This window comes from Homo sapiens, chromosome 10 (genome assembly GCF_000001405.40).
Source record: "Homo sapiens chromosome 10, GRCh38.p14 Primary Assembly".
NCBI classification, from domain to species: domain Eukaryota; kingdom Metazoa; phylum Chordata; class Mammalia; order Primates; family Hominidae; genus Homo; species Homo sapiens.
The window spans coordinates 92,098,791-92,125,818 of NC_000010.11; the positions used below are offsets into that span (position 1 = coordinate 92,098,791).

Genomic DNA, 27,028 nt, shown 5'->3' on the forward strand with positions numbered 1-27,028 from the left:
AGATGGAGTCTGGCTCTGTCAAGCAGGCTGGAGTGCAGTGGTGCAATCTCAGCTCACTGCAACCTCCATCTCCCGGGTTCAAGCAATTCTCCTGCCTTGGTCTCCCGAGTAGCTGGGATTACAGGCGCCTGCCCCAATGCCCAGTTAATTTTTGTATTTTTAGTAGAGACAGGGTTTCACCATGTTGGCCAGGCTGGTCTCAGACTCCTAACCTCAAGTGATCTGCCCGCCTCAGCCTCCCAAAGTGCTGGGATTACAGGCGTGAGCCACCATGCCTAGCCCAGTTTGAAATTTTTATCAATAAAGAGCAAAATAATTATAGCTCCATATAAAAACTAAAGTTTCATCCTACTTAAAACTAAAGGTCATTAATAGGGATACGATTAGGTCAAGGGCTAGGAAAAACAAGACATGCAATATGGGTCTTTTCGTCTTTTTTTTTTTTTTTGAGACAGGGTCTCAGTCTGTCACCCAGGCTAGAGTACAGTAGTACATGGAGTACAGGCATGCGCCACCATGCCCAGTTAATTTTTGTATTTTTTGTAGAGACAGGGTTTTGCCATGTTGCCCAGGCTGATCTTGAACTTAGGGGCCCAAGCAATCTGCCCACCTCAGCCTCCCAAAGTGCTAGGATTATAGGCATGAGCCACCGTGCCTGACCTCTACTATGCATTATTTCTTTAAACAGAATGCTATATGATAACATCATTTCCTAAAATGAAAATTTCATTGACAATTGACCAGAACCTCTTAGTTAAAATTAAATATAAAATGCATTTTTGGCCAGGCGTGGTGGCTCATGCCTGTAATCTCAGCACTTTGGGAGGCCAAGGCAGGTGGATCACCTGAGGTCAGGAGTTCCAGACCAGTCTAGCCAACATGGTGAAACCCCATTTCTACTAAAAAAAAAAAAAATACAAAAAATTAGCTGGATGTGGTGGCAGGTGCCTAAAATCCCAGCTTCTCGGGAGGCTGAGGCAGGAGAATTGCCTGAATCTGGGAGGCAGAGGTTGCAGGGAACTGAGATCACGCCATTGCACTCCAGCCTGGGCAGTGAAACTCCGTCTCAAAAAAAAAAGAAGCATTTCTGGCCAGGCATGGTGGCTCATGCCTATATAATCTCAGCATTTTGGAAGGCCAAGGCTGAAGGACTACTTGAGGCCAAGAGTTCGAGACCAGCCTGGGCAGCATAGTGAGACCCTGTCTCTATGAAAACCTTTTCAAAATTAGCTAGATGTGGTGGCTAAGGTGGGAAGATCGTTTAGGCCCAGGAGTTTGAGGTTGCAGCGAGCTATGATTAAGCCACTGCACTCCAGCCTGGGCGACAGAACCAGCCCTTGTCTCAGGAAAACATTTTTGTTGTATCTAATTTAATTACAGGATAAGAGAAAACACAATTTTTTGTTTTTGTTTTCCCCCCTTGCCACAGGGAGAAAACATATTTGTTTCCCCCCAGCAGCAAGGAGAAAACATAGGTTTTTTTTTGTTTGTTTGTTTTTTGAGACAGAGTTTCACTCTTGTTGCCCAGGCTGGAGTGCAATGGCACGATCTCTGCTCACTGCAACCTCTGCCTCCCAGGTTCAAGTGATTCTCGTGCCTCAGTCTCTCAAGTAGCTGAGATTACCGGCATGCGCCACCACGCCCCACTAATTTTTTTGTATTTTTAGTAGAGACTGGGTTTCTCCATGTTGGTCAGGCTGGTCTCGAACTCCTGACCTCAGGTGATCCGCCCACCTCAGCCTCACAAAGTGCTGGGATTACAGGCATGAGCCACCACGCCCAGCCAATAAGAATGGTTTTTGTTTTTTTGTTTTGTTTTGAGACAGAGTCTCGCTCTGTAGCCCAGGCTAGAGTGCAGTGGCACGATCTCGGCTCACTGCAAGCTTCGCCTCCCGGGTTCACACCATTCTCCTGCCTCAGCCTCCCAAGTAGCTGGGACTACAGGTGCCCGCCACCACGCCCAGCTAATTTTTTGTATTTTTAGTAGAGAAGGGGTTTCTCCCTGTTAGCCAGGATGGTCTCGATCTCCTAACCTCGTGATCCACCCGCCTCGGCTTCCCAAAGTGCTGGGATTACAGGCGTGAGCCACCGTGCCCGGCCAAGAACAGTTTTTAACACAAACCTCAAGACTTCAAATTTCTCAACATAACCACATATCCCTACAGCTAGAGTTCTCTCAGTTACAATTTAGTATTTAGATATTCATCTACCTATACATATCGTCAAGCTCATTTTTAACATCTCACTCTGTATGGTCCCTTCTTTAGGTTACAACACCCATCACATGAACATCCTACTGCATAGGATTTCATTTTCATCTGTTCATCTCAAGGCAGTTCCAAATGGCAAACCATTCGGTGTCAACAGTGCAATCAGGTGGCCAGCTCGGGAAACCATCTGACCAAAGACCCCCTCAAAGCCGTATGTTCTTTTTCCCAAAAAGGACCTGGTTCAGAGCTCAGCTACTTCCCCCATACTCTGATTTCTTTTTTCCTTTTCCTCTTTTCAGTACCGTTCAAACTCAAGCTCTTTAGGAAAAAAGTCTCCATTTTTCTCTCCCCAATCCTACAATCCTTTTAGTCTACATAAATTGGAAAAACAATACTGCAGAACCATCAGGACTGCTCTCCCCAACAAGAAGCAGCACCCCAGCTCATCCTAATAGCCAGGATGAGTCAGCTAAACCTAGGTCTGCTGACATACAGCTGCAACAGCTCAGTTGTAGTGGTGATGAACTCAGACCCACCCCAGCTGTCAGCAATTCTATTTTAAGCATCACAGACTTCACAAAATGACTGGATTGCCCCAGCAATATCAGAAATAAACTAGTTTGTGGCCGGGTGTGATGGCTCACACCTGTAATCCCAGCACTTTGGGAGGCCAAGGCAGGCAGATCACTTGAGGTCAGGAGTTCGAGACCAGCCTGGCCAACTTGGTGAAACCCCCATCTCTACTAAAAATACAAAAATTAGCTGGGCGTGGTGGTATGTGCCTGAAATCCCAGCTACTTAGGATGCTGAGGCAGGAGAATCGCTTGAACCTGGAAGGCAGAGGTTGCAGTGAGCCGAGATTATGCCACTGCATTCCAGCCTGGGTGACAGAGAGAGACTCTGTCTCAATAAATAAACAAACAAACTAGTTTGTGGTTTGTGAGGCATCTTTATCTCTTCCATGGCATAAGGAGTTGGTTTATTATTAATCACCAAAACTAAGAGCCACAACAATAATTGTGGTTTAGACTCTTTACAGCACACTGATATTGGCATCTCATTTCAACGTAATTTTGACCACATAGCTCCCTAACAAATAGGTCAGCCAGTTTCAGGAGTTTAGATGCTATCTATTATTCTCAAGTGCTGAAGAGGAAGAGATGCCTTCCCTGCATCTTCTGGGGGTAGTGGAGAGAAAGGAGTCTTTAGCCTTAGTAAGACTATATCCTGGGTAGCTCTGGGGGCTTCAGTCAGACCTCCGTCAGGCCTCAAGGCAAAAAGCTGTAACTCTCACATTCAGACTATTCCTCCCATTCCCTAGATACAAGTAGTCTCCAAGTAGAAATAGAAAATCTTCATCAAAATAGCCAGGATTCTTCCTAGACAGGGAGCCAAAAGTAACCCTAGGAAATTCTTTCACATCCTCCTTGGATGCTCCAAGTCCACCCTCAGGTTTAGGAAACAGTCCAGGTACAAAAAGGAAACTCCTGCCCCCATCACCAGGCTGCAGAGCCTATTATCTGATGCAAGGAAGCTACAGGCTTTACAACTCCTTTGGGAACTTCAGTTACTGATGAACAATTCGAACAATTCGGTATACTGTTTCATAAGGGCACTCAGTGCAGAAATACAGCATGCATAAACTGCCCCATGAAAATGGTTATGTATATCTTTGCACTATATTTGATTTAATAAAGCCATTATCAATTAAATATTATGCTCAGAAGACTCAAGTCAACACCTCTCTAAAGGCTTTTCTGACTGCCTCAGAAACATCTGCGTACTCTGCCCTTTGAGCGCTCTCCCCGTCACAACTACTCCCTCTAATACTTCTATCCAGCTATTTTAACTTTCAGGTTTTCAGAGCATCTGTGGCTCCTTAGGTCATTTACTGGTCATATGTCTATTTCCCTCTATTGGACTCTAAGATCCTCTAAGGCTGAAACCATATATTTGTGTGGATCCCAACTGCCCAGCACAGTGCCTAACCATTAGTGAGTGCTCTGTGCACGTTTGGTGTGTAAACAAATGTTTTCCTGAGGTGCTGACACTGGTGTCACAAAACATGTCCAGCAGCTGCTCTTCTACAGCTCCCAGATCACTCTCCTCACTCCACTGAAAGTTACCTTCCAGGGGTAGGAAAATAGGGTATATTTTGGTCACCAGTGGATGCCCAAGGTCTTGGGCTTAATGAATGCAAATTTCTGATGCCACTAGGTGAGACCCACTCAATGATCAGAATTATCTAGTGTTCATCATGACTGTTGATGCTGCTTCGTCACTCAGAAAGCATAAACATAATAGCTGATTCCCTTTTGAAAGAAAAAGCACTTTTGAGCACTTATATTGCACTACTGTGCTAGGCATTTTACAGTCACACTTAAACAGCACCACACCATATGCTCTAAAAATTATCCCTACTTTAGAGCTAAGGAAGCTAAGGATCAGAAGAGTGAAGTCATCTTGGAACTGAACTCCAGGTTTATAAAACAGTCTACACGTACTCTTTCTACTACAATCATGTTGTGTGCCTACAAGGCTCCCTGTCCTCCAGGCTACTGGCCACCAGTCACAGCTTCCAGATAGGCTCCTGAACAAGTCAACATGAATTTTTACTAGTGAGTGACTAACCACTCTTTTTTCTCCACTCTTTATGCCTGTTTGCAATGCATCAAGAAATGACCAATGGACATTTGTTGGACCTACTAACAAAACTAGCAGTTAGCAAAGCTTGAGAAAAATGAGTTAGCAGTGAAACTAGCACTGTATCCAGCTATTTTAACTTTCAGGTTCACAGTCTCAGGCAATCTTGTACTCCAGCCAGACAACTTTGTCCAATGTCTATATAAATGTGAACTTTCAGCTCCATGGTACTAGGACAAGGATGTTGTTACTGGCATGCTGATTACTAAAACTCTTGAGAGGAATGTACACATAAAAGTTCAGGTTACCTAAGTTTTTCCTGGGAAGATGCCTATTCTTTGAATGAGCTTCATGGAATACTAATTCCACAGGAATCTGCACGAGTATCATCCCCAAAGCAGGAATGTAAAATGCTGGATTAAACAATTTTACACAAATGTATATATTGTAAGACTTCTCAGAACCTTAATATATCAATGTTTCTCAAATGATTTTGGCTAAGGAAACTTTAATTAAAAGACAAAATGGATATACAATGCACAAAGTAAGTGCTCAAAAAATGACACCTATTACCATTATGAGGAAACCTTTTGTCGAAGATCCTCTCAAGAGATTAGTCTTTGATGGGACAAGTATTCTTCAGAACACACTCTGGAAAACACTGAACATTATCCCTTAAGGGGTGGCGTTGGCTATTTTGTCCACTAGCTACCATTTAGTACAATGGAAATGCAACTTTTTTTTTTTTTTTTTTTTTGAGACGGAGTCTTATTCTGTCACCCAGGCTGGAGTGCAGTGGCTGGCACGATCTCGGCTCACTGCAAGCCCCACCTCCCAGGTTCACACCATTCTCCTGCCTCAGCCTCCTGAGTAGCTGGGACTACAGGCACCTGCCACCACGCCCAGCTAATTTTTTTGTATTTCTAGTAGAGACGGGGTTTCACCGTGTTAGCCAGGACGGTCTCGATCTCCTGACCTCATAATCCGCCCGCCTTGGCTCCCAAAATGCTGGGATTATAGTCGTGAGGCACCACGCCCGGCTGGAAATGCAACGTTTTTTAGACCTCCCTGAAAAGAAAATACAGCTTCCAAAGATTCAAGCACTAAGAAATTCTGGACCAATTTGCAGATTCAGACACCCAGGGCAAAAAAAAAATCAAATGTATAATGAATAGGAGATATGTCTCTCACTTTGGAAAAGAAATTCCTTCTTTGAAGAAATTCCTATGATGGAAGGTGTCCGAACCATGATTTCTTTTCTTTTCTTTTTTTTAGAGAGACAGGGGTCTCGCTGTTGCCTATGCTGGAGTGCACTGGTGTGATCACAGCTCACTGCAGCCTCGGACTCCTGACCTCAAGCAATCCTCCTGCCTCAGCCTCCCAAAATGCTGAGATTACAGGCAAGAGCCACCGTGCCCAGCCCCAAACCACAATTTAGACCAAGAATTCAAGAAACAAATAAATAAATCAAGATCAGAAATGCTAAAGATTTCCGAGGTGGGATATGACACACATGCTGATATGGCTTAGCCGTGAATTCTAAGATGTGGACATACAAAACCAGATTCGAATGGGCCAAGATAAAATTATAGTTATGTGTTAAGAGGTACTAAGCAAAGAATGAAATACCTGTAGTAAACACATCACAAATGAAGGACTGAGACAATCAAGGTGTTCTATAACTTAGTCTCTATCTATTTTGCCCAATTTAATTTCTCTCTATTCCCTTTCACATATTTGTGCTCCATCTAACCAACCTAAATATTCTCCATTCATGTCACACCATTTCCCATTTTTGTGTTCATGTTTTTGCCTTTCTCTGAAATTTTTATTCCCTATACTTCCACCCTTCTCTTGGCCAACTCCACATTCTCCTCATCCTTCAAGCCTAATTCAAATGACACTTCATCCAGGAAGTTTTCTTTCATCATTCTAGGTATAGATGAACTCTCCAAAGTACATAATCTGTATCTTATTCTTTTGTTTTATCTTTGTTACTTTGGCAAATATTTGGGAACCTTTTATGTGCTAGGTTCTATAGATACTGTGTATTTATATACTTGTTTTGTGGGTTTTTTTTTTTTTTTTTTTTCTGAGACTGAGTCCTGCTCTGTCTCCCAGGCTGGAGTGCAGCAGCCCAATATCAGCTCACTGCAACCTCTGCCTCCCGGGTTCAAGCAATTCTGCCACAGCCCACCAGTAGCTGGGATTACAGGCGTCCGCCACCATGCCTGGCTAATTTTTGTATTTTTATTTTATTTATTTATGAGATGGAGTCTCACTCTGCCACCCAGGCTAGAGTGCGATGGCGCAATGTCGGCTCACTGCAACCTCTGCCTCCTGGGTTCAAGCGATTCTTGTGCCTCAACATCCCGAGTAGCTGGAATTAGAGGCGCCCACCACCATATCCGGCTAATTTTTGTATTTTTAATAGAGACAGGATTTTACCATGTTGGCCAGGCTGGTCTCGAACTCCTGACCTCAAGTGATCCACCCAGCTCAGCCTCCCAAAGTGCTGGGATTACAGGCATGAGCCACTGCACCCAGCCTATACTTATTTTATCTATGCATTATACTATTAACCTTTTTTTTTTTTTTTGGCTATTCCCTCATTACCATTTAATTAACTTTTGGACACAAGATTTTATATCAACTCACAGTACGTTCTGGTTCACAGTAACCAGTACTGTGCCTTGACCACGGCAGGTACTCAAACATGGTCTGAAGGAAGGCACACCATTTTAAAAAGATGGCTCTAGATAGGGATGGAGATAGCTACGATAATAGGTAACATTCACGATACATGATGTGGTGATCAGGGAAGGATTCATGAAAGAGATGGCATTTGTAAGGAGTCTTTAAGGGTAGGAATTAGAAATTGAGATGGGAGGCCAGGTGCGGTGGCTCACGCTTGTAATCCTAGCACTTTGGGAGTCCAAGGCGGGTGGATCACCTGAGGTGAGGAGTTCGAGACCAGCCTGGCCAACATGGTGAAACCCCGTCTCTACTAAAAATACAAAAATTAGCCAGGTGTGGTGACACATGCCTGTAATCCCAGCTACCTGGGAGACTAAGGCAGGTGAATCACTTGAACTCAGAAGGCAGAGGTTGCAGTGTGCTGAGATCGCACCACTGCACTCCAGCCTAGGCAAAAGAGCAAGACTCTGTCTCAAAAAAAAAAAAAAAAAAAAAAAAAAGAAAGAAAGAAAAAAGAAAAAAAGAAAAAGGAAGGAAGGAAGAAAGGAATCAAGATGAGAGCATAGATATTTCTGTTTGGTTAAAATATGGGGTTCAGAAGGAAAGCAGAAAAAAGCAAAGTTGGAAAAAATTGAAGCCAGATTGGGAAGGTCTTAAATAGCTGGGAAAAGGATCTGGACTGCTTTTGTAACCAAAGAGGTGTGAATGAAAAGTGCTACAGATCCCACTCATATACAAACAGGGGGAGGAGGAAACACCAGAATGACAGACACATGGGACAGAATTAAAAACTGAAGAATTAAATTGGCCTTTATTTCCAGATTCCTTATTCTTACCATTCTTTTCGATTTTCATTTTTCAAGTTTTAAGTGGATGACCACATTACCTGAGCAATAACGTAAAGAATGGATCCCCACATAAGCATACTTTAGTTTGGTAATATGGTTTTTAAATTTATAGCAAAATCACTCTGTTGTATTTCAGGATATAGAGAAATTGTAGTCGTGCTATAAATAAATCATAAGGAGCAGGAAGCAGGAAACTCCTCTGATAATCCTTTCAAGGTGTTTGCTATCCCACATCTCTGGCCAACATGTTCTAGAACCTTAAATAGCTCCTTCTCCACCTTCTTTTCAAGATTACTCTTTTTCAGCCCCTATCTCTGCTAGACCTTCTAGGTCCCTTGCTCTATTAGCTTGCTGTCTTGAACCTTCAGGTTCAATCTATTAATATAGTCAAAAAATAGAGTCACTTTGATGAGAGGGACCACTGTGCACAATGTCTGCCTGCTTCACTGGAACCCTTGCACATGGACACAGCTGTCTTCTGATATGCCTGGGATACCTGAGCTATGAAACTCCTCTTACTGGAGAAGGAAAAAAAAAATCATAGATCTAGAAGCTCCTCAATACCTCCTCTTGCTCTTGCCAATTTGTCTTCCCATTCTTTGGAACTGAGGAAGTCAACTAATTAGGCCATAAATACAGTTCCTTCTGCAATCTTTCAGGACCAGACCTATACACAGAATAGTCTGAGTTGAGTAATTTAATAAGAAGTAGTCACTGATGAAAAATATCTCCCTAACACAACCTGAAATCCACAAATTTGGAATTCATTTGAGTTAAAAAAAGCAAGTATGATCCTGGACAAGATGGGTGAAAGGAGACCTCACTATCAGGTTCTGCATTAGAAAAACAATCTGATTAATCTGTTCCAAAGGGAACAGGAGTTTGAGGGGAAACGATGAGAAAGAAAGATAAAGGGTAGAAAATCTGCAAGGTCATTTTAGAACATGGTGTATTTCCAAGAAGAAATCCAGGGAGGGTCAGAAAAAATGAAACAACAGAACAAGGGCACTGGGATCCTGAAAGGTAGAAAATAAAGGCTAGCCAAGCCAAAAGCTGGGAGCAAGGAAGCACCATGGCTCAAAAAAAGTTTGGTGAGTGAGCACCAAAGGTTGACTTTGCCTTGAGCTACTGCCAAGGTCCTCATTTACTTCCAAAGGTTCAACACAGTTCTTACTTTTTTTCCCCTCATGGGAGCATGCACAATGAGGTGGAATGTACCAGAACCTAGGTAGGGACATATGCATAAATGAGGCAGGGGGTGGTGGTGGGGTGGTAGATGTGGAGCTAAAACCAAGTAAGAGAAGTTTTCAAAAATAGAGCCAAAAGAGTAGAACCCAAAATAGGATCCAGTTCATTAAAATTGCAGGTGTTTGGGGACTTTTAAGTTTCCTATCCTAAGTTTTACTAAAACTGTTTATGCTGGAAATTCTGAGTATGCCTGGGTCAAAGAAATGTGTGATTGGCAGTCGCCATTCAGAATTCACCAAGCTACAATAAAACTGCTGCACTTGAGCTCAGAAAATGAAAACTGTAATAAGGCAGAATTTGCCAAAACACAAACAGTGAAAGCTAGTTTCCCCATAAACATTTCCAAAACAGATTAATTCTACTAATTATTTTCAAAAGTCCTTCAATCCAAGGATAATACATGTGTTTCTACTGAAAACACTCAAGAGTAATGGCATTGTCACCACAACACCTCCATCTGACCCCTACTGCTGCTCACTCCCTGCTCAAGAGACATCCTGTCCAGCTGAAGGCTTGTCCCACAAGGCATATTATTCTCCTTCCCTACAGAGCCAGTGACACGATTCTTCCAAAGTATATAAACTCTGCGTGTTCATCTCTAGCTTCTTAACCTGCATGGACATAACTATTTCAACATGTACTACTATCCCTCTGCCTTTTTATGTAGAAAAATTTATTTCTAATCCTCTCCTACAGTGTGTGACCTTAAACCTTCCCAGCTCACTCCAGCTTCTCTCCAACTGGCATGCCAGTAGCAGAGGCTCTCTGGAGGTTGAGAATTTACCTCTCAGATATCTGATCCTACCAAATTGGGTACAGATTTTTTTTTTTTTTTTGAGACAGTCTCACTCTGTCGCCCAGGTTGGAATGCAATGACGCGATCTCGGCTCACTGCAACCTCCGCCTCCTGGGTTCAAGCGATTCTACTGCCTCAGCCTCCCAAGTAGCTGGGATTACAGGCACGTGCCACCACCCCCAGCTATTTTTTTGTATTTTTAGTAGAGAAGGGGTTTCACCGTGTTAGCCAGGATGGTCTTGATCTCCTGACCTCGTGATCCACCCACCTTGGCCTCCCAAAGTGCTGGGATTACAGGCGTGAGCTACTGTACCTGGCCAGGTACAGATTTTTTGTGTGTGTGGAGGGGGACTTGTTTCTTCTTTGGGTACAGACTTTCCAAACTCATACTACTCCAAAATTTGGCAACAGCCTCCAAATTTGAAAATTACAGTGGCACTTTTATACTGGCTAAAATCCTTGCCTCTTTTTCCACATCATTTGCTTACTCTCCAATGAATACTCTCAATATCCCCATTCTTTAGTAGTTCTTTCTTCTGCTTTAAGTGCTGCACTCTCCCCTTTATAGGTGGCCAAGTCTCAACATCATTTTTTAGCAAACAGTTGTAAACCCTGTTAAAGATGTCATCATCCTTCTCAACAGATATTGCCATATAGCTGAGTTCTAATCTTGCTCTATTGAATCCTATGTAGGACTGACAACATTAGCCAGTTAAATTTGTACAAGTATCTGACCTCTACCAAATGCTTTCACATTCATTTTCCTCTTATCTGAGCCTCTCAACAACCCAGGGAAGAATGATTATTCTTCCCATCTTCCAGGTGAGGAAACCACAGTTCAGCAAGGATTAGATGATTTATTCAAAGCCAAGCAGATATTTAAATACAAGAGTCAACACTCAAACTTCTATATTCAATCCAACTATTTCCCCATGCACATTTCTGAAAATAAACCTAGCTGCTAAGTAGGCCCTACATTTCCAGTGCTAGTCATACAAAGGCCGCTGCAGGCCCTGTGGTATATACAGCTCTGGTCTCTTGCCCACTCTGTGTCATATTTTTACTCTATTTGCCACATCTAGCACCAAGCCTTGACACACAAACTCACCTCACCCTACCCCTGCCAACTTCCCACAGATCCCTACTTCTGTCACATAAATGAAGTTCGTTTATTCTGCTCTGAACATGATCTTGCCCCTTCTCCACTGATAGCTCTTCTGCCAGAGGAAGGACACAATCTTCCTCCCTTATCCAGTGACTTACTCATTCATACTCTGGCTCAGAAGCCACAAACTCTTAACCACAAACTCTGTATTATGGTTTTAGCTCCACGTTCTCTGCCCTTCTCCTCTCCTGCTCTGTTGAAACTATCCATTTTAGAGTGTAAGCTCCTGACCCAGAAGGCTCTATTTAACTAGCTGTGGGTACCACCCAGCACAATGCCTTGCATTCAGAGGCACATAAACATCAACAATTATGACCTTTTTCAAAAATAAATAACTCCGTTCTTGATCTGAAATAATGACGGAAACCAGCTGCCAAAACCGCTAAGAGCATTATTTACCTCGATTCAGAATTTCTGAATAGGAATTAGCTTAAAAGAGCTGTAAGTGAAAGACAAGGACATATTTGTTTACACACAGTCCCAAAGGTATAAAATGAATACTGAGTAATTTGTTGTTAGTTTCCCATCACCAACGAAAGTCCAACTCTACTGCATAGCAAGGCCAAGCTGGGTAAGAGGATCCTAGTTACCAGCATTTCCATTATCAGAAAGAGGAGGTCAGCTATTCCAATAGCATATGTGCTCTGGAAAAGCAACAGCTGGCCATGTATTACTTACTGGCTTGTCCTTGATGGTGGGGCTTGACACACACAGGTAGAGTTTCCCATCTTCTTCTAGGCAGGCATCTATCAAAGCTTGTACTGAGCTTTCCTCTTGGAACAGCAGAAAGGCATAGCCTTGGGGAGAGCAAAAACAAAAGGGTAGAGGAAGAATCAGTACATTAAACTCAAAGTACCAATTACAAATTATCTGTTGTTTCATTTTGGCAAATTCTTACTAAAATCTAAGAAGTTCAAGTGGGACAAAGGGACTTTGTCCAGGAACTAAGTTAGGTGCTCATTGATATTACCTTGTTTAATTTTTACAATTACTCACAGAAGCAAGTTTAGAACACATCTATGGAATTTCCACTAAATACATCTGGTTATCCTTAATGAGGGCAAGTGGACTCACCATTGGCCTTAGCCACAACTAACAAGTAGCCAGGAAACAAGCACCACCTGCTTTCCAATTTCTACAAAGCTCTAGGCTGGCCACATGCCACAGGGATAAACCTTGAAAATATTATGCTAAGTGAAAGAAGCCAGACAAAATATGTCCAGAACCAGCAAATCTATCAAGACAAAAAATAGATTAGTGGCTGCCTAGGATGGGGAAGCTGGAGGGAATAGGCACTGAGTTTCTTTTTGGGATGATAAATTTTCTAAAATTGATTGTGCTGATGATTGCACAACTCTGTAAACATGCTGAAAACCACTGACATGCACATGTCACATTGGTGAGTTGTATGGTATGTGAATGATATTTTAACAAAGCTTTGTTGACACACAAACACACACACACAAAAAGCTTCAAAAAAGTTTTTAAAAAGGCCAACAATAAGCTGGTGTGCTTTTGCCTGCTATTTCTGATGATGGTGCTCTGCTTCTCTAAGAGATACCCTCTTGGCAGAGTACAGTAGGTCTAGAAAAATGGACATTAGCTGCAGGATTTCCATAGACACAGCCAGTTTTTTTCAGTTTAATTCCATAAGATTTACCGAGTAACTGATACAAGTGGGACATATCCATGGTTTATGAGAATACTAAAATAAGCAAGACCACGTTCCTTTTTTTTTTTTTTTTTTTTTTTGAGATGCAGTCTTGCTCTGTCACCCAATCTCAGTGCAGTGGCACAATCTCTGTGGTATGATCTCGGCTCACTGCAACTTCTGCCTCCCGGGTTCAAGCAGTTCGTGTGCCTCAGCCTCCCAAGTAGCTGGGATTACAGGCGCCCGCCACCACATCCGTCTAATTTTTGTATTTTTAGTAGAGACAGGGTTTCACCATGTTGGCCAGGCTGGTCTCACACTCCTGACTTCAAGTGATCCATCTGCCTCGGCCTCCCAAAGTGCTGGGATTACAGGTGTGAGCCACCACGCCCGGCCCCAGGTTCCTCTTGTAAAGAAACTTATGAAGTAGATGAAACAAACATTTAGACAATTAACTACTCACTACAAAGCTGAGGGAGATAAGTGGGGACAAAATGTGTCACTGAAATCACAAGGAGCAAAGGCCCAACTTGGGAGAATCAGCAAAGACTTTAAAGAGAGCAACAGATATTCAAGGGGCCACCTGTGGCACTTGTGGCCACACTGGCATTCATAAATGATGACAGAGCAAAGGCCCGTCATGAACTAGTCTAAGCTTTCAACTTCTCTACAACCCTGCTAGCTTTGCTAAATCTCTCAGCTGTCATTCCTCAACTCCCAACTCTGCTACTAACCTCAAAGGAAACCATCATCAACACAGTTCTTCTCTGGTACATTGCATATCAGAAGAATGTAAATGGCAGAGAAGGATAAGAATCCCCACATACAGAAGATTCTCACACATCAGAGGTGTTTAATTCATAATCAACTGGCTAAGAAGCAAAGCTCTCTGGAGTCCTGGGCAACATGTAATGACAGTGGCAATGGATAATGGCTATTCGTTTTTAGCCTTTTCTCCAACTCCCCATCTACTATACAGAGCATCCAGGCAAATATAGCAGAAAAAAAGACCAGCCACTCCCTAGCATAGCAGGCAGAAACTAACACACAGGAAAAGGCACCAAATTGAATGGGCAGCCATGTAGTTGCAAGAGAGAGACTGCCAAGGTTTTAGGACCAAGAGCTGTTTTCTGGGCTTTGGTCTCATGCTGCATAGGTCAGAAGATTCTGTTGATGGCTAGTCAGGAAAAATAAAACCTGACTGCAAAACTAGAAAAGACAATACATACATCATTTCTTCATATCCTCTTTTGCAAACAGTATTGAACTATCACCAGGTGCCAGGGAATCTTAAAAATTCAGTGTTTTCACTTAATATGAGAACATTAATTCTACTTACTAAAGATAATATTAGAGATAAGGTGGGTTAAAAAGTCCAAATATCACAAAGAGGAGGTCTCAGCAGGTTCTTTCAAACCTCCTCTCTTACCAAGTTAAATACTGGTACAGATATCCACAAAGATCATAAGCATATTGAACACCCTGCAGTCAGAGTACTCCATCTATGTATATATTGTATTATGTACACATCAAAAAGGCCTGGTGATAGGGAATGCCCAGTGAGTTGGGGCTTTCTCTTATTCCTTGCCTCAAGAAGGCCTCCTGGCTGACTCCATTTTTCCTTCACATCACTGCCCACCCTCTGCAATCTTCAACATCAAATCCAGTTTTGCATTGACCTTGGGCATCCAAAGAAAAGGCGGTTGTCTCCCTATAGCAGCTGAGCAGCTCCCACAAAAGCACGCAGATTTTCACTTAGGCCCATCTCACAGCCATAAAATATCTACACTGGCAGTAGATAGAGTAAAAACAACTGGGAGTCACAAGTAAAAGCCTGCTACAAATACTATTATCAAGAGAAATATCTATAAACAATTTCTCCTTTCCCAGGAAATGGTCCATAACAGTTTACCAATTTCTTTAGGATGGCTCTTTTACTATAAATAATCCTGTGTCAAAACAATTATCTTTACTCTGAGGTCACCAAGCTGCCATTTTCTGTAATGGCAATATTCTCTCAGCACTGTAGATAAGAGACATGGCTAAACTCCCCCCAACCCCCCAAAATCTGGGCTGTAGTTCAACAATTTCTTCTAACTCTACTTCCCACTTTAGGCCTTCCAACCAAAACAGAATTCACCGGAAACACCCAAAATCACTCTTGAAAACAACTTTATGATATCTTCACCTGCTAAAACACCTTCTGATACTTCAAGGTCAAGCAAACCCAGATGACAACAGAAATCAGAGGATTTTTTAAAATCAGGAAGAATCTTTCGAACATATTTCCCTTTTGATCTTGAAAAATTTAAAGTCAAAGTAAACAAAGTAGAAAAAGATCCCTTCAAGAATAACAAGGTCAATGTGAGGCGGAAATCCAATCAATGATTTACTAAAAGGTAAATTGCACATGGTACTAGGAAGTGTTCTGGACTAGGAGACAGAAGGTCTAGATTCGGGTACAAGTCCTAACATTTAGTAGCTATGTGATAATAACAGCTAATAGCTAACATTTGTTGAGATTTACTATGCACCAGACACTGTTCTAAGTGCCTTGTGGACATTAACTCATTTCATCTTCACACACACCCTATGTGGTAAGCCCTATTTTGAATTCTGCTTTATATTTAAGGAAATTACACAGAGTGATTAAGCGACTTGTTCAAGATCACCCAGTAAGTGGTGGAACCATGAACTTGAATATTAACATTTCTGAATCCTGGCTCTCTTCTCTGTCAAATGAAGAAACCAAATATTTGTCCCAATTACCTTACAGAGATGTAGGTTGTAAGATAACGTATAAAAAGGTGTTTCATAAACTAGGAAGTCATGTGAGTATTGATTTTTCTTTTACTGCATTTTCAATTATTTCTGTAATAGATAAAATTAAAGTTGAGTTTTTGCATATGGTCTCATTACAAACATTAGAATTCAAATTAATAATATGCACTTTCAGCCGGCAGAGCCGCCTGGCAGCTCCTCCTCTTCTCCGCCCCGGCGGCCGCGGGCGCGGGGGACGTCAGCGCTGCCAGTGTGGAAAGAGCTGCGGGGCGCGGGAGGAGGAAGTAGAGCCCGGGACCGCCGGGCCACCACCGACCGCCTCAGCCATGGACGCGTCCCTGGAGAAGGGAGTCTCGGTCTCTTGCCCAGGCGGGAGTGCAGTGAGGCGATCTCGGATCCCTGCAACCTCCGCCTCCCGGATTCAAGTGATTCTCCTGCCTCAGCCTCCCGAGCAGCTGTGACTACAGGCGTGTGACACCACACCCGACTAATTTTTGTATTCCCAGTAGAGATGGGGTTTCACCACGTTGGTCAGGATGGTCTCAAACACCTGACCTTGTGATCCTTCAGCCTCAGCCTCCCACAGTGCTGGGATTACAGGCGTAAGCCACTGCACCTGGCCGGGACTTAGATTTATATTCCCTGAAGTAATACAGGGCCTTAGATGGAATGAACGATTTATATTGGTGCTAATTGGGCGGAAAAGAAAAAGCATTGCTGTAATATGAATGTTGATGACTTTATGTTCTGAAAAATAGTCTGGGTCAAAGTGAAACATTTAATTGTGTTCATTATTCCTGTTTCTTTGAGGAATAGACTATCCTGCGTTAAATTCTACATTGTTAATATAAACTCAAGAGCTATGTGAGCAGTTGTAAATGATCCCATTTAAACTGATTGTTGCGTAATTTATACTGATTACAGAAACCACAATGTTATTTGATGCTCACCCTCTAAAATTTAAAATAATATCTCTCACTTTAAAATGTATGTGAAAAAACAAAAAAAAATTTAGTATGCGATCATCATTTAGTAGAATCACTCAGTGATTTGGATTTGGTCCAAATATAATTCTGTCCCTTGCTTTTTCTGTTATGTAAACGTGCAGACCTGTGATAACAGAGCCATTTTCTCGTCACGATTTGCTTTTCTTCCACAACAGTATCAGTTTTCTTGTATCTGAGATCAGTGATGTCCCAATAAATCAGATGGGTTAATTGAGGAGGCAAAGGAAATTCAAACTTAGGAGAGTAGGAGTAGGGGCTTTGCCTCTGCCCCCCACTGTATGTCCAAGGCATAAGGAACAAGGCCCTGTAGCAGAGTCTCACAGTGTGTACTTATGTTAATATTCAATAAGGAAAATGCCACAGGAAGTAATCACTATAATGATGAAGATTTTAAGTTATTAAACACACCTTCCAGTAAAAAAAAAAAAAAATAATAATAATAATAATATGCACTTTCTATTTTGCATTTGCAAGCATTTGGTGAATAAAGAGAAGTAACCTAGATACTGAAGAAAAGCCCTAATTAAAGTTACTTGAATGACAGGCTGAATATTACTGCAAACAAACAATAAAGTGACTGAATATCTGCTTTCATATATGATTAGCCATTTCCCCCACAAGAATGTCAGATGTAGTATTATTTTCTGATTTTAATATATTTTAAAGTAAAAACCAATTATGCCTATAAACAGAGCTTCTCTATTAGTTTGAAAGGTATTAAAAAAAAAAACTTGGCCAAAAAATTATCAACTTCCTCTGCTCTCTCTTGCCCTCGGACCCAGTAACAGATAATATGATTATAAAACTCTTCCAGTTTCAGAAATGGTAACCTGAGGAGTATGTGGGGGCTTCAGTGATGTGGCAAGCTATGAGAGGCCCTCAGCTCCAAGCCAGTCTATGAAAGCAGACAGGGCTCTGGAGGGAACAGGAACAGTTCCTAGTCACTGTCACCAACACAACCCTGAGTTACAGGTAGAATGGATGGCCGAAAATTCCTTGCTTTCCCACTGATGCCAAACAGGTTGGGGAAGAAGGGTAGAACACTGAGGGATTTTTTTCAACAATCCTAAATTGATCAATGCAATTTTCTGGGAGAAAAAGGAACACCAAGGTTTGGGAAGGAACTTAATTAGGATAATTCCATTTCATTGGCCAGGTGTGTGAAGTGTAAATTTAATTAAAATATTTTTTTCTTTTTGTTTTTTTGAGACAGAGTCTCGCTCTGTCGCCCAGGCTGGAGTGCAGTGGTGCGATCTCAGCTCACTGCAACCTCCGCCTCCCAGGTTCAAGCAATTCTCTGCCTCAGCCTCCCAAGTAGCTGGGATTACAGGTGCCCGCCACCATACCTGGCAAATTTTTGTATTTTTAGTAGAGACGGGGTTTCACCATCTTGGCCAGGCTGGTCTTGAACTCCTGACCTCATGATCCACCCACCTCAGCCTCCCAAAGTGCTGGGATTACAGGCATGAGCCACCATGCCTGGCTGACTTTTTTTTTTTTTTTTTTTTTTTGAGAAGGAGTCTCGCTCTGTTGCCCATGCTGGAGTGCAGTGGTGTGATCTTGGCTCACTGCAAGCTCCGCCTCCCAGGTTCAAGCCATTCTCCTGCCTCAGCCTCCCGAGTAGCTGGGACTACAGGTGCCTGCCACCACACCCGGCTAATTTTTTTGTATTTTTAGTAGAGACGGGGTTTCACGGTGTTAGCCAGGGTGGTCTCGATCTCCTGACCTCATGATCCGCCCACCTCAGCCTCCCAAAGTGCTGGGATTACAGGTGTGAGCCACCGTGCCCAGTAGTGATTTTTTTCTTTTAATACCTGAGAACACATTAAGTATAACAACCTCCAAAATGTTCTTGGCTACCTTTCAAAAACAAAGCTTCCTGATCTCTTAAATACATAATTTTTCATGTTTTTTTTTTAATATTTGATACCTAGTACAAATTATCAACAACTCTACTACCACAACTATCAGGTACTAAATGCTCACAATGTTCTAGGCACTTTGCTAATAAATATTTTACATGTTAGCTCATTTTATCCTCACAGTAACTCTATGAGGTAAATACAGTTGTTATTATTACCATTTTACAGATGAGGAAAATGAAGCTTGGAGAGGTTAAGGGAATTCTCAAATTAAAACCCAGGAATGAAATCTGGAATTAAACCAGATCAGTTTCCAGAGCCCATTAATTTATACTACCTCATCTAAAAATGGCAAGATAAACTTTTAAATATCCCTAATACAGAACTTGCCTTTAAAATGTCCTTATGACAGTGACCATTTGACAGTTTTGTTTTGTTTTGTTTTGTTTCAAGATGGAGTTTCGCTCTTGTTGCCCAGGCTGGAGTGCAATGGTGTGATCTTGGCTCACTGCAACCTCTGCCTCCGGGGTTCAGGTGATTCTCCTGCCTCAGCCTACCAAGTAGCTGGGATTACAGGCATGCACCACCACACCTGGCTAATTTTTGCATTTTTAGTAAAAACGGGGTTTCACCATGTTGGTCAGGCTGGTATCGAACTCCTGACCTCAGGTGATCCACCCGCCCCAGCCTCCCAAAGTGCTGGGATTACAGGTGTGAGCCACCGTGCCCGGCCTGACATTGTTTTAATAGCAGTAAGTGGTCACCCTGTGCTTTAGTCCTATAATTTAAGGCCTATGTAGATATAATTGCTACAAAGCCCACAAAAACTATATTAAAGGATATTCTATAAAACAATGGGCATGAACTCTTCTAATGATATAAAAGACAAAAAGCCTAGGGAACTGTCTAAATTAAAGGAGATTAAAGAGATGTAACAACTGAATGTGGAACCCAAGATGGCTGCACTCTTGCTGAGACATGTTGGTCGACATTGCCTCCGAGCCCACTTTAGCCCTCAGCTCTGTATCAGAAATGCTGTTCCTTTGGGAACCACAGGCAAACAAGAGATGGAGCGGTTCTGGAATAAGAACACAGGTTTAAACCGTCCTGTATCTCCCCACGTCACTATCTACAGTTGGTCTCTTCCCATGGCAATGGCCATCTGCCACCATGACACTGGTACTGCTTTGAGGGCAGGGGCCTCTCTTTTTGGCATGTCAGCCCTGTTACTCCCTGGGAACTTTGAGTCTTATTTGGAGCTGGTGAAGTCCCTGTGTCTGGGGCCAGCACTGATCCACACAGCTAAGTTTGCACTCGTCTTCCCTCTCATGTATCATACCTGGAATGGGGTCTGACACTTGATGTGAGACCTAGGAAAAGGCCTGAAGATTCCCCAGCTATACCAGTCTGGAGTGGCTGTCCTGGTTCTTACTGTGTTGTCCTCTGTAGGGCCGGCAGCCATATGAAGAACGGAGGTTCCCAGCATCATATTCCTACACATTATTACATTCACCCATCTTTCTGTTTGTCACTCTTATCTCCAGCCTGGGAAAAGTTCTCCTTATTTGTTTAGATCCTTTTGCACTTTCAGATCCCCTTGGAGCAGTAGAGTACCTTGTAGAACATAAGAGTGGAAAAGGGTCTAGTTTTCCCCTTGTTTCTAAAGATGGGGTGGCTGCAAAAATTCCCATTTTTTGCCCACAACTTGCCTACTCTGGGACTAGAAGCAGTTATTCTCTTTCCATATTGGGCTTTGATTTGTGCCAAAGGTCAGCTTTTGGTTCCTTCTTCCTGAGACAGTAGAAACAATACCAGCTCTGTGGCTTCTGCCCTGGGGACTGGGGGTGAGGGTTTGGGTCCCACTGCCTGTGGGTTGCTGGCTTAAAGGACAATTCTGTTCACTGGTGAGAGCCCAGGCCATTAACACCTATGCAGTGTTATTCAAAGAAGAGAGGTGAGGGTGGAGGGGAATTAGTCTATCCCAGCTAGAGGGAGATAAAGAGGGCTAGTTAGTTCTTAGAGCAGCTGCTTTGAGGAAGAAATATATATAGCTATTGACACAAGAGGAAGATCCAGAAAATTATCATTGAACATATTAAAGGTTACTTATTTTTCTTGCATTTCCAGAAAACCCTCTTAATTTTATGCTTTCTCATCGAAGTCATGCACCATTTTTTTCTGAAACTAAATTAAAATACTCATTAAAGAAAAAAATCTAAGTGCAAGTTGTTGTATCCCTTGAGTGGATCTTGGATTTAAAAAAAAAACAAATTGCGCCAGGCGCGGTGGCTCACGCCTGTAATCCCAGCACTTTGGGAGGCTGAGGCGGGCGGATCACGAGGTCAGGAGATGGAGACCATCCTGGCTAACACAGTGAAACCCTGTCTCTACTAAAAATACAAAAAAAAAAAAAAAAAAACCAAATTGCTACGCCGGGTGCGGTGGCTCACACCTGTAACCCTAGCACTTTGGTGAGGCCGAGGAGGGCAGATCACGAGGTCAGGAGATTGAGACCATCCTGGCTAACACGGTTAAACCCTGTCTCTACTAAAAATACAAAAACAAACAAACAAACAAACAAACAAACAAAAAACCAAATTGCTAGGCCGGGCACGGTGGCTCACACCTGTAATCCCAGCACTTTGGGAGGCCGAGGAAGGAGGATCACGAGGTCAGGAGATTGAGACCATCCTGGCTAACACGGAGAAACCCTGTCTCTACTAGAAATACAAAAAATTAGCTGGGTGTGGTGGCGGGCGCCTATAGTCCCAGCTACTTGGGAGGCTGAGGCAGGAGAATGGCCAGAACCCAGGAGGCGGAGCTTGCAGTGAGCCGAGACTGCACCACTGCACTCCACCCTGGGTGACAGAGCGAGACTGTCTCAAAAAAAACAAAAAACAAAAAACAAAAGAAAACAAACTGCTGTAAAGGACATTACTGAAACAATCTGGATATTTCTTGTTCTCAGGAGATATGTGCTGAAATATTTAGGAATGAGAGTCTACAATTCTTTTTTTTTTGAGACAGAGTCTTACTCTGTTGCCCAGGTTGCAGTGCAGTGGCATGATCTCGGCTCACTGCAACCTCTGCCGCCTGGGTTCAAGTGATACTCCTGCCTCAGCCTCCCAAGTAGCTGGGATTACAGGCAAGTTCCACCACATCTGGCTAATTTTTATATTTTTAGTAGAGACGGGGTTTTGCCATGTTGGCCAGACTGGTCTCAAACTCCTGACCTCAGGTGATCCACCCACCTCAGCCTCCCAAAGTGCTGGGATTACAGGCATGAGCCACTGTGCCCAGCCTACAACTTACTTTTTTTTTTCTTTTTGAGATGGAGTCTTGCTCTGTCACCCAGGCTGGAGTGCAGTGGCACAATCTCAGCTCATTGCAACCTCCACCTCCTGGGTTCAAGAGATTCTCCTGCCTCAGCCTCCCGATTAGCTGGGACTACAGGCACGTGCCACCACACCCAGCTAATTTTTTGTATTTTTAGTAGAGACGAGGTTTCACCATGTTGACCAGGATGGTCTTGATTTCTTGACATGGTGATCCATCCGCCTCGGCCTCCCAAAGTGCTGGGATTACAGGCGTGAGCCACCACGCCCGGTCTACAACTTACTCTTAAATGGCTATTGGGGAAATACACACACATATATATATATAAAATATATTTTATATATAATATATTATATATATATAATAGAGAGACAGCGCGTGAGCGAGCATGCACGCAAAAATGTGGCAAAATGCTAACAATTGGTGAATCTAGAAGAAAGCTATATAGGTGTTCACTGTATTATTCTTAGAGCTTTTTTGTAGGTTTGACTTTTTTTAAATAAAAATTTGTGGAAAAAAAACTACAAGGTCTCCCATTCTAAAAAGAGATGTGTATTTTTTTTTTTAAGGAATCAACAGTTCTTAAAATCAACTAATACTATTAGTGATGTATTTGTTTCAAGTACCAACTACAAATGGAAAAAAAAAAATTCAGCTTGTGGAGCTGTATCCTGAACCACTGCAGCATTCATAAAATGGCAGACCAAGGAATGGCTGGTTTTGGATTGAGACCAACCCTAGAAGGAAAGGTCCATGGCCTGGACAGACAGGCAGCTCTCTCCTCTCACAAAATCAAGCTTCCTATTACCAGTGACCTTCCTAGAGAAACCTAAAGGGCACTGCTCTAGCCAGAGCTGCCTGAGTTCAGACTTTTTTTGGTACAGGCAGTCTGTCCCAAACATTCTCTCTGACTTTGGCTTTCAGGTCAGAGGACTTATCTGGTTTGCCTCAGGAGACTTTTTTTGGATTCAATTCAAGGGTACCAAAAACATCTAGGAGATGCCAGGTATGATGCTAAGTACTGAGGTTGCAAAGATGAACAAGCCAAAGAAGAACCCTGATCCAGAAAAAATCAGACTGTCAATAACTAATAAGCAACATTAAAAGCACTATGTTGGAGGTATCTCCTACAGGACACTGGGGAGAAAAAAAGGGAGCAGATTTGTCCAAACATCAGGGAACACCAAAGAGCAAAGGCCATATCTGACCCAGAGGCTGATTACTTTTCCAGAGAGTAAAGGCATTCCAAGTTCAGGAAGGTGCACAGGCCACGGCATGGAAAGGCCAAAGGGTCAACTCACTTGGACAACGGTGAGCAGAGTTCATTAGTTAGAGTATAGGATTGAGAGTGGTGGGTGGTAAGAGTTGAAGCAGCTCATCAATCCCTGCCTGCAGCGGAGAGCACTCACTGTAGGTCTCTGAACTGGATCTCTTATTCATTTTCCTCTTGAATGAGGATACCTGATCTCCAAGATTTACTCAACACTTATGTAATCTACACACTGCAGGGGACTACTATCATGAGCAAATTCTTGTTCTTAAGGAGTTTATATACTAGCACTAGAAGATTGTATAGAATAAATTCACAGAGAACTCTGACTTAGGAACAATGCATTAATGATCCTAAGAAGTATTTTTGTAAACATATTTTTAAAAGTTGGACTTCACAGAAAGAAGAAAGATCACTTTCAGAGAAGACATGAATAGAGAAATCAGGAAAGGCTTTCTGTAGGTGGTGGCACAGGGGCCAGACCTTAATGGTACAACATAGGTGAAAACATTGAAAACACGGAGAAGACATTCCAAGGGAAACAACTAACCTAAGTTAAAATGTAGAGGTAGCTCTGCAGATAGATACTGCCTAAGTGCACGGATTCCTAAACACTCTGCTTAGATTCAGAACTAAACATATTTCTTTAACAATATTTACTGTGTGAGGCTGAGACTTGATTCTAGCCTGTTTTGTGTTTTCTACGACACTACCAACTTTCTTTGTGGGTTGGTTGCTTGGCAGCAGGGGTGGGAATAGTTGGGAATGGACAAGAAAACAAGCCGGCAGCGTAGAACCACCTCAGAGTTCAAAATTGGTAATCTACTTCCTGTGTTCTTAGCAAAGTCTTGCAGTCCAGGGCAGTGACCTGGGGCATTTGGACTTAAAATCTGCTGTTTACATAATCACACATTCCCTATATAAAGAGGTCCTTGTGAAGTCTGCCAATCTGTCAGTTCTAGTCACAGTCAGTTCAAACAAGCACCTGACCAAGGAAACTGAGACCAGACTGGGGGTGTGGGAGAGAACTGGTCAAACTCGTTGGGTAATTTTATGATTACTGAGCATTACATTTAAGTCACAGGCAAGGACCAAGGACGCTAAGATTATTCAACACCTAATAAGCCTAAGTATTGTGTTAGTGCTTTCACACACTGCCTCACATAATCCTCTTAACAACCCAACGAGTAGTATTAACTCAGATAAGTAAACTGAGGCTTAAAGGTTAAATTACTTGCTCAATGTCATATAGCTAGTAAATGCTGATGCCCACATCTGAGTCCACAAACCTAGCTTATGCCCCACTGCCTGTTACACTCCCTCAGTCAGCAAACAACTGGGGAACTCTGTTTCAATCCAGGTGATGCTCTCCTACAGACAGATGAAGCTTTAGTCTGGCCTTGTGCATATACTGCCTGAGCTTTGATAGTCTTAATTTCTTCGCCTCCCTGGACTTTAACATTCCTCTGATCAGTTCTTAATGCTGTTTCAAATGAGTTTTTTTCTGTGCCAGTCTTCTCAAGACTGAAGTGGGTCCATTCTCCTTTGAAAGACAACCCAGGTCTTTGCTCTCAGTTTTCAAAAAATTTCACCAGACCCTCCTAGCTGGCTTCCCATTCCTAACTCTGCAATTAACATATCCTCTGTTGGTCTCACCTGCTCACAGCCTTAGCCCTATCTAACTACTGTCAGCAAGTCCCAACCCAAGCTATATCCTCTTCTAAAACATCCTCTCTGCCTCAGTCTGCCAAATTTCCACCTTCCATTTCAGTTCCTAAAGTCTATTTTTTCCTCAATAAAAGTTCTCATCAGGAGGAGTTATGACTTCTCTGAACTAAACAAGCATTTCCCCCCATCCCATCACCTCTGCCTGGTCATAGCACAGTGTGTACTTAGGTGACCTTGAACAAGATGTTTCTGTTATTTACGTGGCTGCTCAAGCTTTGTCCTGTGGACTATATATTCCTAATGACTTCTTTCTGTACAGTCCCTCAAACTGTAAATGCTTTGAAAGCAAAGACTAACTTTATAGTTCATCTTCAATACAATGCTGAAGAGACAAGTGTTTATAAAAGTGTAAACTGAGAGTGTGCTAAGCTTTTAAAAGCAAAGATAGATGGACTCCATCTGTCAAAACAGAACAAAACAAAACAAAAAGCCCACCCTTGCTATCACACAATGCAGTTTCCATGTTTTTACAAGAAAATCCTTCCTGGGTATGAAAATCACAATCAAGTAAAATATTAAAATATAGGGTTCATAAATCACCAAACAGTGTGAGCACTATAAGCCAGGACCTGATTTTTTTTTTTCTTAAAGGAAGACAGAATGTTACTCAAAAGATGACGAACTGCAAAAGGTTAAATACAGGCTAAAACCCTTGGCTTCCCAACTTGATCAGTTTACGTAACTCAGAAGGTGGAAAAACTTGGAATCTGGCCTAAAATAACACTGACTTATTTCCATTCAAGTTATGCTACAAGGGAAAAAATGTGAAGTTTGAAAACTTTCCTTTCCAAAGCCAGATTTAGACAAGTTGAAGGAAAAAGAAATAAATGCTACACTGCAGCCCACTGCAGCTCCACAATGGCCTGTTTTTGCCCACTCAAAGTAGATTCCTCTTCCTTGTTCCTCAAGCAGGATCTCCTTAGCTAGCTGGCTTGTGTTCAAACTGAATAGTATGTGGCCTGGCTTGTGCCAGGTTCACAAACCATGCTGGTATTGCATAAACTTCCACAACTACATGACCTTGGTTAAGAGCACCAGAGGGCAAGCCAGCCTAGCCAGTGCAGAGGACGTATAGAATCACCAGCAGAAATAGCCATCCAGGAATACAAACTTTTCTAAAAGTGGGTGGGAATCATTAGTGCACAAGGGTTTGGTCACTCTTGTATAAAGCTGTGTGCCTATTACTATTTCTGTTCACCTGGACCCTGTGCCCCTAGACTGCTGAAGCTGACACTGTAAGCTGCCCAAGTAAGCTGAGAATGACAGCTTCCTCCATTCCACTGCCAGCATCATTGGCTTCTGAAATCAGTTTCAGAGCCAGATGGCCAAACTCATGTACAACATCTGTAGCTGGCTGCCATCATTGCCTTTGCCCAAGAGGCCTCAACAGTGGTAGCACAGCTGTGCTCATTGCACAGCAGATGCCAGCTCCTTTCCCTGGGCCCATATTCTCTGTCCCACTATGAGAGGTGAGGCTATTGCAGTATCAGGATCAGCTGTTAGTGCAGAACAAGGGGTAGAAGGCTCAGGGTGGACAGGCATTTTTTGGTAGCTCCAGTGACAGCAACTTTGGAGATGGAATATTTTCCCAGTGGGCAATGAGGGAGGTTATGCTATCTATCATCAAGCTTGTCATGTCCATCTTATCTTCCTAGTGGCCACATTCACAGCTACATGCTAAAGGAAACAGACTTTTTTTTTTTTTTAAGACAGGGTCTCACTCGGTTGCCCAGGCTGGAGTGTAGTGTGGCACAATCTCGGCTTACTGCAGCCTTTACCTCCCCAG

General features: G+C 42.6%; 1 protein-coding gene, 1 long non-coding RNA gene and 1 pseudogene across 27 annotated transcripts in view, besides 1 other annotated feature; 2 read left to right on the forward strand and 1 right to left on the reverse strand.

Moving 5' to 3' along the window:
- CPEB3 (cytoplasmic polyadenylation element binding protein 3) overlaps positions 1-27,028 on the reverse strand; it is a 244,542-nt gene that overhangs the window by 52,099 nt on the left and 165,415 nt on the right. For all 26 annotated transcript variants that reach the window (XM_047424810.1, XM_024447895.2, XM_011539517.3 and 23 more), the window contains one exon: positions 12,286-12,404. In XM_047424810.1, coding sequence (XP_047280766.1) covers positions 12,286-12,404 — 119 coding nt within the window. The remainder of the gene's footprint in view (positions 1-12,285; positions 12,405-27,028) is intronic.
- Positions 2,611-2,910: an enhancer, noted in NCBI's record as "active region_3767". NCBI's record gives its function as "activates an Ori minimal core promoter by ATAC-STARR-seq in GM12878 lymphoblastoid cells {active_cell/tissue: GM12878}" and the evidence as "EXISTENCE:reporter gene assay evidence [ECO:0000049][PMID:35858748]".
- Positions 13,593-16,738, forward strand: LOC107984254 (uncharacterized). Its single transcript, XR_001747551.3, has 2 exons — positions 13,593-16,089; positions 16,215-16,738. It is a non-coding gene; the product is annotated as an uncharacterized LOC107984254 (long non-coding RNA).
- On the forward strand, positions 19,855-21,111 carry SDHCP2 (SDHC pseudogene 2; annotated as a pseudogene).